This window comes from Homo sapiens, chromosome 9 (genome assembly GCF_000001405.40).
Source record: "Homo sapiens chromosome 9, GRCh38.p14 Primary Assembly".
In the NCBI taxonomy this organism is placed as follows: Eukaryota; Metazoa; Chordata; class Mammalia; order Primates; family Hominidae; genus Homo; species Homo sapiens.
This window is the reverse complement of record NC_000009.12, coordinates 2,383,275-2,396,446: the sequence shown is the minus strand read 5'-3', so window position 1 is coordinate 2,396,446 and position 13,172 is coordinate 2,383,275. Positions and strand designations below refer to the sequence as shown.

The 13,172-nt window shown below is 36.3% G+C and overlaps 1 long non-coding RNA gene across 1 annotated transcript in view; it reads left to right on the top strand.

The window, feature by feature from the left end:
- Positions 1-11,292, top strand: part of LOC101930053 (uncharacterized) — a 121,382-nt gene extending 110,090 nt beyond the window's left edge. Inside the window, exon 6 of the long non-coding RNA XR_001746603.2 lies at positions 10,711-11,292. This is a non-coding gene — a long non-coding RNA (uncharacterized LOC101930053). The remainder of the gene's footprint in view (positions 1-10,710) is intronic.
- The last annotated feature ends 1,880 nt before the right edge of the window (positions 11,293-13,172 follow it).

Below are 13,172 nucleotides of genomic sequence, written 5' to 3'. Positions count from 1 at the left end.
ACTTTCCCCCAATCTAGAGAAGGTTTATGCAGAGCACCAGGGCTGGGTGGAGAAGCTAAGTAGGGACTGGAGTCTGGCAGACTTGTCAGCTGTGCTTCTTCTGGAGTGCTGCTATTGGCTAGTTTTTCTAGTGGAATGCCTTCTTTTGCCATAATGCAGAGCCACTGCCAAGATTTGCACATTGGTTGCTGTGAGCCTTACCCTTATTCTTTGTTTTTTAACTGAACCCACCTAGTCTAGCCCCAACAAAACTTTCAATGTTTCTCATGGGGGAAATGGTGAGGAAACTGAATTTCTACTTCCCACTCTCTTTTCCCACTGTAGAAACCATGGGCCCAGGAGTGATGTGCTGGGTGATGCTGTGCTGGCTTGAGGGAAAGATGATGTAGTCAAAGTGAAAACTCTTACTTTTTGAATGTACCTTTCTCAGTTCTGTGGTCCAAGTGGGTGTCTCAGCCTCTCTCACACATTCAGGGATATTCACGAAGGTACTCTTGTCTGTGGTTAGTTGCTAGTTCAATTTCTCTAGACTGGAGCCAGAGAAAATATTCTGCCATTTCGCTGATGTCACTTTCCACATATGATAAACTTGAGTCTAAGTATTTTGAGATCACATACAATAGGGATAGAAGATAATGGCCAGACCTTCTCAAGTTAGGAAGTCTAATGTGTAATCTCCTATAATGCCAGAACACCCCCAATGACTATACTTTCAAATAAGAACAGGTAAGAAGTAAACTACTTTATGCAGATTTGAAGCCTAAAATCACCCAGGTTGTCCAAAGAAATCACAACCATTATCTTCCTCTTAAAAAAAAAAAAAAAGGATCTCAAATTGGTAGGACTTACGGATTCATAGCAAAAGAAAAGCAAATTCTCTGAGAAAAATGTGCCTTTATCACAATCTTAAAAGAATTCCTAGAAATGAATTTTCCAAGGAAAGTATGCAACAAACACAAAAATTTAAGCACATAAGCAAATAATGCTTCATGAAAAAGAAGAACAGCAATAACAGCAAAGATGTTTAAATATTTCAGATGTTGGCATTAACAGACACAATGTAAATAAATAGGCCTACTCTGATTAAATTATAAGATATAAAATTAAAACTACCTATAGGGAACAAAAAAACTATAAAGAATAACCAAGAAGATATTCAAAAGAACCATACTGAATTCTGGAAGTGAAAAATATAATACTTGAAATTTTAAAACGTAGTCATCAGGTTAAACAGTAAATTAGTTATAGCTGAAGAGAGTGTTAATTAACTGGAAGATAAATGTGAAAAAAAAATCCACAATGAAGTATAGAGAGAATATAAAATAGGAAAAGGAAGGTGAGATTAAAAGACTTGAAGAAAAACTTAAGAAAGCTTAAAATACATAAAAAACATTTTTAATTCTATTTCAGGGAAGAAAGGAAAGAGAATCTGATAGTGACAATATTTGAAAGTATAATGATGGGATACTTTCCACAATTGATGGAATGCCTAATCTATAGTTTGTTCTTGTTTTTGAGAAGCCCAGTGAATTCCAAACAGAATGCATAAAAATAAATCTACACTGAGGCACAGCATAGAAATACTGTAAGATACTAAAGACAAAGATAAGATCTGAAAACATCCAGAGAAAAATTATATATTACCCTCTAGGAGTAACAGAGTGACAGCTGACTAGGAACAATAAAAATCAAAGCTAGAATACAGTGGAGCAATGTCCTTAAGGTGCAGAAAAATAATAATGTCCAATCTTAGAATTCTTTACCAATCTACAATGTCTTTCAACAGTAAGGGAAACAAAATTTTTCACTCTCTGCTCAGTACTAACCTCTGGCAGACATATTTTTGTGATTTAATGCAACATTCTTCTTTTAATTGATTGTGTCTGGCATCATCACTAAACTGAAGAGTGGCCAGCTAAATTCTCTCTTCAGGGAATTTAGAATTGGGCTTGAGAAATAGTCTGAGCTGGTCTCTCAAGTCAAAGACAGTTCTAGTTAATGATATATTTCTATGAATTTCATCAAAACTTTTAAATTAATCACATAAAGTTGTTCAGAATAACTTATGTTTTTAATAACTGTAGCATCTCTGGTGGTGACCTCTCTCATTCCTAATATTGGTTATTTGTGCCTTATCTCTTGTTTTCCAGATTGCCCTTGCCAGAGATTTGTTAATTACATTAGCTTTAAAATAAAACAACATTTGGTTTTTTCATCTTCTTTGTTTTTGTTTCTATTTAATTAAATTCTGTTCTTATCTTTATGATTTCATTTCTTCTATTTCTTTGGGTTTATTTTACAGTTTTTCTTTTTGAAGTTTTGAAATGGATGCTTTGCTCATTAATTTTTAACCTATCTTCTTCTCTAATACAAGCATACAAGGCTATAAATTTCTAAGTACTGTTAAAATTGCCTCCTGTATGGTATGAAACTGTTTTGTTAGAATTAAGTTGAAAAGGTTTCTAATTCACCTCCTGAAAAGGTTTTAAACCTTTTCAACTTAATTCTAACAAAAGGTTTAGAAACCTTTTAAACTTAATTCTAACAAAAATTTGAAAGTTTGTCACTGATAGATATTCACTAAAGGACATTTTAAAGGATGCTCATTAGTCTGAAAAGAGTGACCTAAAATGGAAAGTATTATATGCAAGTAGGAAAGAATAGAAAAGAAAGTAGTAGTATGTAAAACATTCAAAAAAATTGACGATATAAAATAACATTTTAGTTGGGAGATGGTAGTACTTACTTGAATTAATAAGTTCCAAAATATTGTAAGGGAAATGGTAAAGGTATTGATTAAATTTAATTTTGATAAGGTAAATAGATATGTATATTGTAAATTGTAGCCTACACATTAAATGAGTAGAGTATATAACCTTGAAGGAAGTTCAGGAACAAAAGGAAATAAGAATAAAATGCTTAGTTAATACAAAAGAAGGCAGAAATGAAGACAAAAAGAAACAAAACAGATGAAGATAAATAACACACAATAAGATGGTACATAAATCTGAGTATGTGACTAATTATATTCATTGTAAATGAACCAATTACTCTAGTTAAAAAAGAAAGATTGTCATACTGGGTTACTAAAAAATAAAATCCAAGTATGTATTATTTATGAGATGCACCCAAAATAAAAGGATATAGAAGGTTAAAAAGTTAAAGAATAGAAAATATGTATCATATAAACAACAATCAGAAAAAAGTGTGTAAGTATATTCATATTAGACAAAATTATCTTTAAATCAAATATACATTTAATATACAGAAATATAGAGGTGTGGAGTGGGAAATCAGAGGTCTCACAGCCTTCAGAACTGAGAGCCTGGAACAGAGATTTACCCACGTACTTACTGACAGCAAGCCAGTGATAAGCATTGTTTCTATAGATTATAGATTAACTAAAAGTATTCCTTATGGGAAATAAAGGGATGGGCCAAAATAAAGGGATGGGTTTGACTAGTTATCTGCAGCAGGAGCGTGTCCTTAAGGCACAGATCACTCATGCTATTGTTTGTGGTTTAAGAACGCCTTTAAGCGGTTTTCCGCCCTGGGTGGGCCAGGTGTTCCTTGCCCTTATTCCGGTAAACCCACAACCTTCCAGTGTGGGCATCATGGCCATCATGAACATGTCACAGTGCTGCAGAGAATTTTTTTATGGCCAGTTTTGGGGCCAGCTTATGGCCAGATTTTGGGGGGCCTGTTCCCAACAGAAAAAAACAAAATCTAAAGAGAAATAAGAAAATCTATCATCATATTGGGAGGTTTTTAACATTACACCTCATTTGGGAATTTGCAAAACAAAAAGGACCAAAATAAAAAGCAAAAAGCAAAGCTCCAACTATATGGAAGATCAACATGGTTAAGAAATTTGACTTAATGCATATTTATAGAATATAGTACTCAAGAATTGAAGAATACCTTTGTTTTTTATAAACAACCATGTAACATTCACAAAAATTGACCATAGTCTGGGCATGTCTTCACAAATTTCCGAGCATTTAAAACTGTGTTTTCTGACCAGAGTGAAATAAAGCCAGAAGTCAGTAACAAAAAGATATCTGGAAATTTTTCTATATATTTGTAAATTAGGAAATATTCTTCTCAATAGCCCAAAGTTCAAAGCAGAACTACAAGGGAAATTAGAAACCTTTTCAACTTAATTCTAACAAAACAGTTTCATACCATACAGGAGGCAATTTTAACAGTACCTAGAAATGTATAGCCTTGTATGCTTGTATTAGAGAAGAAGATAGGTTAAAAATTAATGAGCAAAGTATCCATCTCAAAACTTCAGAAAGAAAAACAGTAAAATAAACCCAAAGAAATAGAAGAAATGAAATCATAAAGATAAGAACAGAATTTAATTAAATAGAAACAAAAACAAATAAAGAAGATGAAAAAACCAAATGTTGTTTTATTTTAAAGCTAATATAATTAACAAATCTCTGGCAAGGGCAATCTGGAAAAAAAAGAGATAAGGCACAAATAACCAATATTAGGAATGAGAGAGGTCACCACCAGAGATGCTACAGATATTAAAAAGATAAGTTATTCTGAACAACTTTATGTGATTAATTTAAAAGTTTTGATGAAATTCATAGAAATAAATCATTAACTAGAACTGTCTGTGACTTGAGAGACCAGCTCAGACTGACTGTTTCTCAAGCCCAATTCTAAATTGTCTGAAGAGAGAATTTAGCTGGCTACTCTTCAGTTTAGTGATGATGCCAGACACAATCAATTAAAAGAAGAATGTTGCATTAAATCACAAAAATATGTCTGCCAGAGGTCAGTACTGAGCAGAGAGTGAAAAGTTCTCAGAGATACAAGGTTATGTGGGGAAGACACACTTCAAAGGAAAAGTGGAAAACATGCTATACCACTTATCAATATATGTAATAAATACTTACTTATATATTTGTTTCCCATCATTAGAATTCTCCAAACTCTTCTTATCAGAGTGTCTGGAATATGGTGGAACTCAGTCCATATTTATTGAAAAAATAATTTAATTAAAAAATTGTAATCTCTTTGGGATTTCATATTTTTAGCTCTAAAATAGGAATAACAGTACTTTATCCCTGAAAGCATGGATTGGATCCAATAATACTAAGTGTTATTGTTTAAATGTGTCCCCTAAAAGTTCATGTATTGGAATCTTAATCTCTTTGCCCTCATGAGTGGATTAGTGGATTAGTGAGGGCTCTGCCCCTCACAAGTGGATAAATGTCACTATCACAGGAATGGCTTTGTTATCACAGGAGTGACTTTGTTATAAAAGTGAACTCTCACTGGCTGTCTTCCTTGTGCTCTCTGCCATCTTATGATGCAGCAAGAAGGCCCTTACCAGATGCAGGCACCATGGTCTTAAACTTCCTAGTCTTTAGATGTGAGTTAAGTAACTTTTTTTTCTTATAAATTACCAAGTCTATGATATACTGTGATAGCAACAGAAAATAGATTAGGACACTGTGGTGCTTTTTTTTAGATCCATTATCACATGTAAGACTTTTAAAATGTATTTTAGTGGACACAGATGTCTGTAAGATTGAACTGATGTGGAGAAGGCTGCACTAGTGTCATCATTTCCTTAGCTGTTGAGAGTGGGACCAATGCTGGTCTCCATTTCTGAGCTCTCATTCCTTAAGCACAGACTTTAGAATATACTTCTTCCATCTGGGAGGGGCTGACCTTTCTTAAAGACTGACATTCTGTTTCTTTTGTGGGTTTTACCTTTGGTCCCTCATCCACCTTTTTCAGTTTCTGGAAAAATCTGATTCCCAAATTGCAATAAAGTTCATGGATGCCAGGTGAATTTTCTCGAACATTATCCTGTCACAACTCAAGCCCATTCATGTTATTTTCCTTTATAAAAGACTTTGTGGTGAATACATACATTTTATCCTACAGATTTTAAAGATATCACATTTTTAAAAATCAAATTAAATCTAACTCTAAGACCCAATTTTTATAGCTGGCAGAAAATTCCATCAGTACTTAATGGGAGTTCTTCCCTCTGCCTAGAGTAGTCCAGAAACCTTACATGATGCCCATAAAAAATGAACATAGCTTCTAATGTGCTGTCATAGATGCCACTGATAGCCTCACTTTCCAAACCTACATGGCATCTGACGTGTTGACATCTCTATAGCTACTGTGCCAACTGAGGCATTTGCCTAGCAAGAAGCAGCAGTGCCTGGGGCAGGCTTCTCTGAATCACCTCTCTGAGTTCTCACTATCTAGGTCACCAGGTTCGCATCCCTGACTCCTTGGTGAACTGCCAACCTTAGTCCCTTCTCTACCTGAAGAAACGTCTCTCTCTCCTGTCTCTCGCTCCCAGGCATTCTTCTCTCTTCTCTCCCCAGCCAGGATACTGAGCACAATCTCACCCAAAGACAGAGTCTTTGTCTTGCTCCCAGGCATTCTTCTCTCTCTTCTCCCCAGCCAGGATAGTGAGCACAATCTCCCCCAAAGACAGAGTCTTTGAACACATGCACAAAGAACGTTGTTCTTCCAACAACTTCTCCTTTGGCCCTGCCAAAGCTCCAGGGCAAGGGAAGAGAAAAGCTCAGGCTGTCTTCTTGAAAGGAAACTGCAGTGGATTGGATAGGTATAAATGGAAAATGCAAATTAATAATCATAAAATTATACTGCCACACTTTCAAATAGTCTCATTTAAAAAAAAAAATAGAATAGAGTTCAAAATCTGTAGCCTGAACTCTAAGGCCTGCATTATCTGTTTTCTGTTTGCTTTTCTAGTTTTTATCATTCTCTACATTTCTAATGCTCTGCATAACTACTCATAGTTCCCCCACATTCTTCTAAGGCATTTTCATGCTTAAGCAACTGTGTTCAAACTTCTGTCTCTGTGTGCCCTCCCCCCCATCTCCTTAGTAAACTTCATTCATCTGTAAAAATTCAGCAGAAGGCTTATCCCCTCAGGGAGGCTTCTTAAGGTGGAAATGACACTCTTCTGTAGACCTTACTATTCCCTCTAACATTTTAGTACATTTTAAAATATAAATGTCTGTCTTCCTTTACAATCCCATTAAGTCATTGAGGACAGTAATCATTTCTATTCATTTCTCCATCCCAATGTCTAGCCCATTCAGCTTACATATGATGCCCTATAAAAAAACATAGACAATCAAGAATTAACAAAAGAGAGAACCAGCATGATTGGATCTACAAGCATGTGGGCCCAGAAGCCTTGGTCTTTGAGATGGTATGTATTTGTGTGTGTTTCACCACCACCTTCAACAGAAGGTTATTTGATATGTAGGAGGCATATCTTTTCAACCATATTTATGCCAGGGCCTCATTTTTCTTTCTTTCAATGCATTCTGCCTTAAAATTCTTTACATTTGTGATGTGAATTCCCAGCCGTTGGCTCCTGAGTCCACTGTTGGAGCTTCACTAATAGTTAAAGCCAGAGGTCCCAAACTAGCAGCCAGCCAGTGAAATATAGTCAGTCCTATTTGGCTTGGTTTGCAAACATTTTTGTTTTTTTAATCTGAGTTCAATGCTGATATGGTTTGGCTGTGTCCCCACCCAAATCTCATCTTGAATTGTAACTCCCACAATTCTCACGTGTCATGGGAGGAATCCAGTGGGAGATGATTGAATTATGGGGATGGGTTTTTCCTGCACTGTTCTTATGATAGTGAATAAGTCTCACAAGATCTGATGGTTTTAAAAATGAGAGTTCCCATGCACAAGCTCTCTCTTTGCCTGCCACCATCCATGTAAGATGTGACTTGCTCCTCCTTGCATTCTGCCATGATTGTGAAGCCTCTGCGGCCATGTGGAACTGTTAGCTCAATTAAACCTCTTTCTATTGTAAATTGCCGAGTCTCGGGTATGTCTTTATCAGCGGCATGAAAATGGACTAATACAAATACTCTTCACATAGTTACCTCTCCTCCTTAGCTCTTGAAGGTATTTAAATGTACCCCCTAATCTAAGCCAGCTCTGCATATAAGCCAGTCAGCCTTTAAATCCTTCCCACTTTCAAGACAAGAGTTGGTCTAATGAGCAGTTGACCATTTTACCGTGGTGGGTACCTGAGAGTGCATGTGTGTTGAGGTGAAAAATGGTACAGGAAGCAGGAGAGATAAAAGGGCAAGACACAAGAGAAGAAACAGAAAAACATGGCACCTGTCAGTTCCAGTTCTGCCCTGTCCCCAGTCCTTCTTTATTGTAGCTCAGGTGTACATGTTGACAGGTGGCCTATCCAAATGAGAATTTGCCCAGTGTTGGGAAGATCGTCTTAGTGTCCACTCCACTTGGGTAGTGTTTATCCACTTATATACAATAAGTGTTTTAATAAATGTAGTTCTATTCAGTTTAACAAGTAATTATTTTGAACTTACACTTTGAGGGGCTATGTCCTAGAGCCATTGTGTCCACATACTTGGAGAACATACAGTTTGGAGAAAAAGACTGACATGGAACCAGATTACTATTGAATAATATTAATTACTATTATTATAGTATAATTAGTAACATTAATGAATAAGACAGCTATACAGACTGTAATGGGGGAATAGAGAGAAGAGGCCCTAGGCCCAATATGGAAATTCAGGGTAGACTTTCTGAAGGAAGTGCCCTTTGTGCCAGGAAAAGAAGGGCACCTAGGGCTCATGGTAAGGATGGTGGTTGCCTAGGAGATAAGGCTAAATAATAAATTATGATGGATATAGTATGCCATTTATTTAAACTTTAATCCAAATTCAATGGGGATCCCTATAATATTTTTAAAGTAGGGAAACAAAGTAATTAAATATGAATTTTAGATAGTCTGATGCTCTAAATAGGTACCCTACTTAAACTATGTTAAGTTATTTTAATAAATGCAATATAAAACTATTTGTGTTGCTTGTCTATCATACCTGTGTGAATGAATGTACATGCATATATGTCTTCTAGAAAATTCTAGATGTTGCTTTTCTTTCATTATCTGTTTTCTTGCTTTGGACACTGAGATAAGGCCACTTGAAACGAAAGGCTACAAACCAGCCAAAGACGGTCAAACACTTCCAAAAGGAACGTAAAATCTAAGAAACTCCAGTTTTAAGTTGGCAAGTCAATAAATCCTCTGGAAATTTACCAGATACTGCCTGAAATTTGTTCTACTTAGTTTTTTAAATACTCTTAGTTCTCACGTCAATTCAGTTCCAAATTTAAAAACTATATATATTTAGGGTCTGTAATTGTGAATTGTGTGTTTTTGTCACTATAGTAAAATTACCTTTATAGATTTTTAAATGAATGCCAGTACTTGCAAATTGATTCTGCATGTTTTCCGTTAACGTTTACATGAATGATTAACAAATAGGATCTCAATTAAGGAGAAATTACAGGGACTATTTAAAAGGCCATCACATTTCAGCTTACCTCCAAGCTGTGGCTTCTACCCCATTGATCATATTTCTCAGTTTGCCAACATTCTGGCTTTCATAAAACCAAGACTTCAAGCAGCTAAATATTGCTTAAAAGAGAATTTCCCACTAGGTTACTTTCTGTAAATCTGAAAATATACTACAATGTGAGGATATGTGTTTGTAGGGCAGGATCTTTGCAGTGGGATTGGAGGGGAAGAAACTTCATTCACTTTGTCTTTGTCTCCCAGCTCCCAAATGGATCCAGGCATGTGATTTGTCACTTCCTTAGTTACTGCTGGAAGCTCTTTGAAAACATATCTCATATTTTCTGGTTTCTGTCTTTTTGTAAGAATTTTGAATAGAAATTGTGAAATTTGTAAAGTTGATTCTCTAAGTTCTCTTGTCCCTCACCTTGACCCTCATAGGCACCACATTTTGATCCCTGGGTTTTCCAAATTACTCCCATATTTGTCCCAAACACCCCTTCATGATCCAAAGCAGACGTTCTCTCCTTTTTCTCTCCCGTTTCAAATTTGGAAGTCAGTTGGCCGGAAAATGTATTCTCACTAACCTATTAATGGCTGAGACGTTTTTCATATGTTACTCCTGCTAGAGAGGTTTGTATTTTTACCAGAACTGATTTGCCCACATTCAAAGAAATAAATCTATGAAGATTGTGGCAAAACTGATTTCTTTTGAGACGGAGTCTTGCTCTGTCGCCCAGGCTGGACTGCAGTGGCGCAATCTCGGCTCACTGCAACCTCTGCCTTCCGGGTTCAAGCGATTCTCCTGCCTTAGCCTCCCGAGTAGCTGGGATTACAGGCACATGCCACGATACCTGGCTAATTTTTGTATTCTTAGTAGAAACGGGGTTTCACTATGTTGGCCAGGCTGGTCTCGAACTTTTGACCTCGTGATCCACCTGCCTCGGACTCCCAAAGTGCAGGGATTACAGGCGTGAGCCACTGTTACCGGCCCAACTGATTTATTTTCTTAAGCAATATGCTTTTCACTCCCTAATTTGGCCAATTGCTGTTGAATTAAGTTACTACCGTGACAGAGGAACTTTGCCAGGAGCTGATGGATGCGCAGATGGGACAGACATAGATCTTGCTTTTAAGCAGCTTACAGTGGAATAAGCAGCACAGCGTTTTGGACAGGAGGCACCAGGCTGGTAGGGACCTTAATTACTGCTGTAGCCCTGTGCCTACAGAAACCTGTGGTTCATAGACACGCAATAAAATTTGTTGGGATTAAATAGGTAATTGAGAGATAAAGAGACCAGAGATAAGCTAAGCTTTCCCTATTTTCTGCCACCTTGCAGGTCATGGCATGGAGGCAGTTCATTTTGGAACTAGAAGTTTAATGGGACCCCTGCAAAGGCAAACACACCTTTGATTGGCTGGTGTTGCTAAAAAGCAGAAGAAAAACAAAATGAACCTCCCAAAACTGTGAGTAAGACAAAAAACAAAAAATTAAAGTCTGTGTCTGAAAGATGGAAGGGAGAGTCTATTGAGGTCTTTGAAACCCTACCTGGGGGCTCTAGGGTTTTGGCTACAAGCCAAGATGAGGAGCATAAGAATAATTGAATCAAGGTAATCAGGATAGGAATAAACTGATGAAAGACGTGTTAATACTTGGTGAGAGATTTTTTTAATGTGGCTGAGTTTTAAAATTTTTATTTAAACAATAGCATTCACAATAGTAGTTGCTATAACATAAAAGTCCATATAGCCGTTGAAATCACGTATAGATTGTGATTAAAATGTGTGTGTGTATATATATATATATACACATAAAAGCAAGTTTGACAGGAAACACACTAAAATGTTAAGTAACAATGATTATCACAAGGAAGTGGAATTATGGATGACTTTGATTTTCATTCCTATATTTTCTTTATTTTCCGAAAATGTTTAAGTAACAAATATTTATAGCCAGAAAAATGTTGGTGTAAATCAGTAGTAATTATTTAATGCCCCTGAAACATTTTCCTGACAAGATGTGTGTGGAAAATTCAAGACTGTAATTCTGGGTGTTATGAGAGGCTCAACAGAGATCTGCCTCTTAAATGCCAGTGAGGACATCACCCTGCTCTCAAGCAAGAAATTGCACTTCTGACCTGGAAGTGCTATTAAGTACGTTTTGCTTTAATCTGATTTTAAAAAAAAAAACAAATCTAAACCACAACTCTGAGGGATGAAAAGGCAGCAAATGTCACATTCTCTGAAAAGCTCTTGGAGGGGGGAAGGGGATGATGGAGCTGGAAGTGAAGAGATGGGAAGAAAATGACAAATTTCCCTAAATGCTGATTCTGTGATAATATTAAGCTGTGAAAACTCCTTTACCCTTTCTCCCCTTTTGAGTCAAGACAAAAATAAAGCCACATGTAGATGTCTTGTATACATAACCCAAACTGGATTGAGCTTTTAACAAATCTATTGAGATTTGTTCGTGGTATTTATCCTTTTCTGTTTAAATTGAAGTACTTGAAAAATGTCTTTGTGGTATACACAAAAATGTAAACAATGACTAAAGTTTAGGAAAGGTAGATTTTGAGATGATTTTTATTTTCTTCTTTTGCTCATGTTCTAAATTTTACTTTTCCTATGAGCATATATTACTTGTACAACAAGAAAAAAAAAGGATAGCACTTGAGAACATCAAGAATAAGTAAAACAAAACAAATGTGTGTGAACAGAGAATAGACAATGAGAAAATATACCCACCACTACTGGGTTTTCTCTGGGACATAGTGTAGGGGATGGATAGGTTTCTACTCTTACTTTCTTCTTAGGGTGTTAGCCATACTTTCTAAAATGGGCACGAGAAAATGATACATATATCATGATCTCGCTTGTAAAACACAAAATTGCATACCTATATAATATATAGATTTTGCAGGGAAATGTTTAGAAGTATTTGGACTAACCTGGGAAAGTGATCTTTTCCTGGGAAGATGGACTAAAAATGAGAGAGGAAGAAAAATTGTTTTTTTTTTCATTGACACAAGTGTTCTGTTTGATGTTTTGCAACAAATATCTATGACTTTAGTAATTTTTACAAAGAAATTGGAAAATAAAACAAACACAAGAAAAGCTTGACAAACCTAGGTTGGTCTCAGCTGTTTCCTTTGCACTCTTTCACATATGTTTCCTTTGGAACCTAGAGAGGAAGATTATTTTCTGTTGTGTGGCTCTACCATTTCAGTCTGGGCTCTCAGTCAGGTTATGGACCCTTTTAATTATTTCAAGTACATTTTAAGAACAAATATTTATTTTTCCATAAAATTCTCTCCATTTTTGCAGTGTAGTTGAAAAGCAGGGAGCCAAGAAGAGCTAATTTGGAATCCCAGACTTCCCTTCATTTTACATGTTAATGTAGTTTGGATCTGTGTCCCTGCCCAAATCTCATATTGAAATGTAATTCCCAATGTTGGACCTGGTGGGAGGTGATTGGATTATGGGGGTGGATTTCTCAGGAATAGTTTAGCACCATCCTGCTTGTCTTCATGGTAGTGAATGAGTTCTCATGAGACCTGGTCATTTAAAAGTGTGTAGCTCCTCCTCCCTCATTTTCTTGCTCCTGCTTTCACTGTGTGATGTGCCTGCTCTCCCTTGCCTTCCACCATGACTGGAAGCTTCCTGAGGCATCCTCAGAAGGAAATGCCACTATGCTTCCTATACAGCCTGCAGAACTGTGAGCTAATTAAACCTCTTTTGTAAAAAGCAAATTACCCAGTCTTAGGTTTTATAACAATGTAAGAATGACCTAATACACATGTCT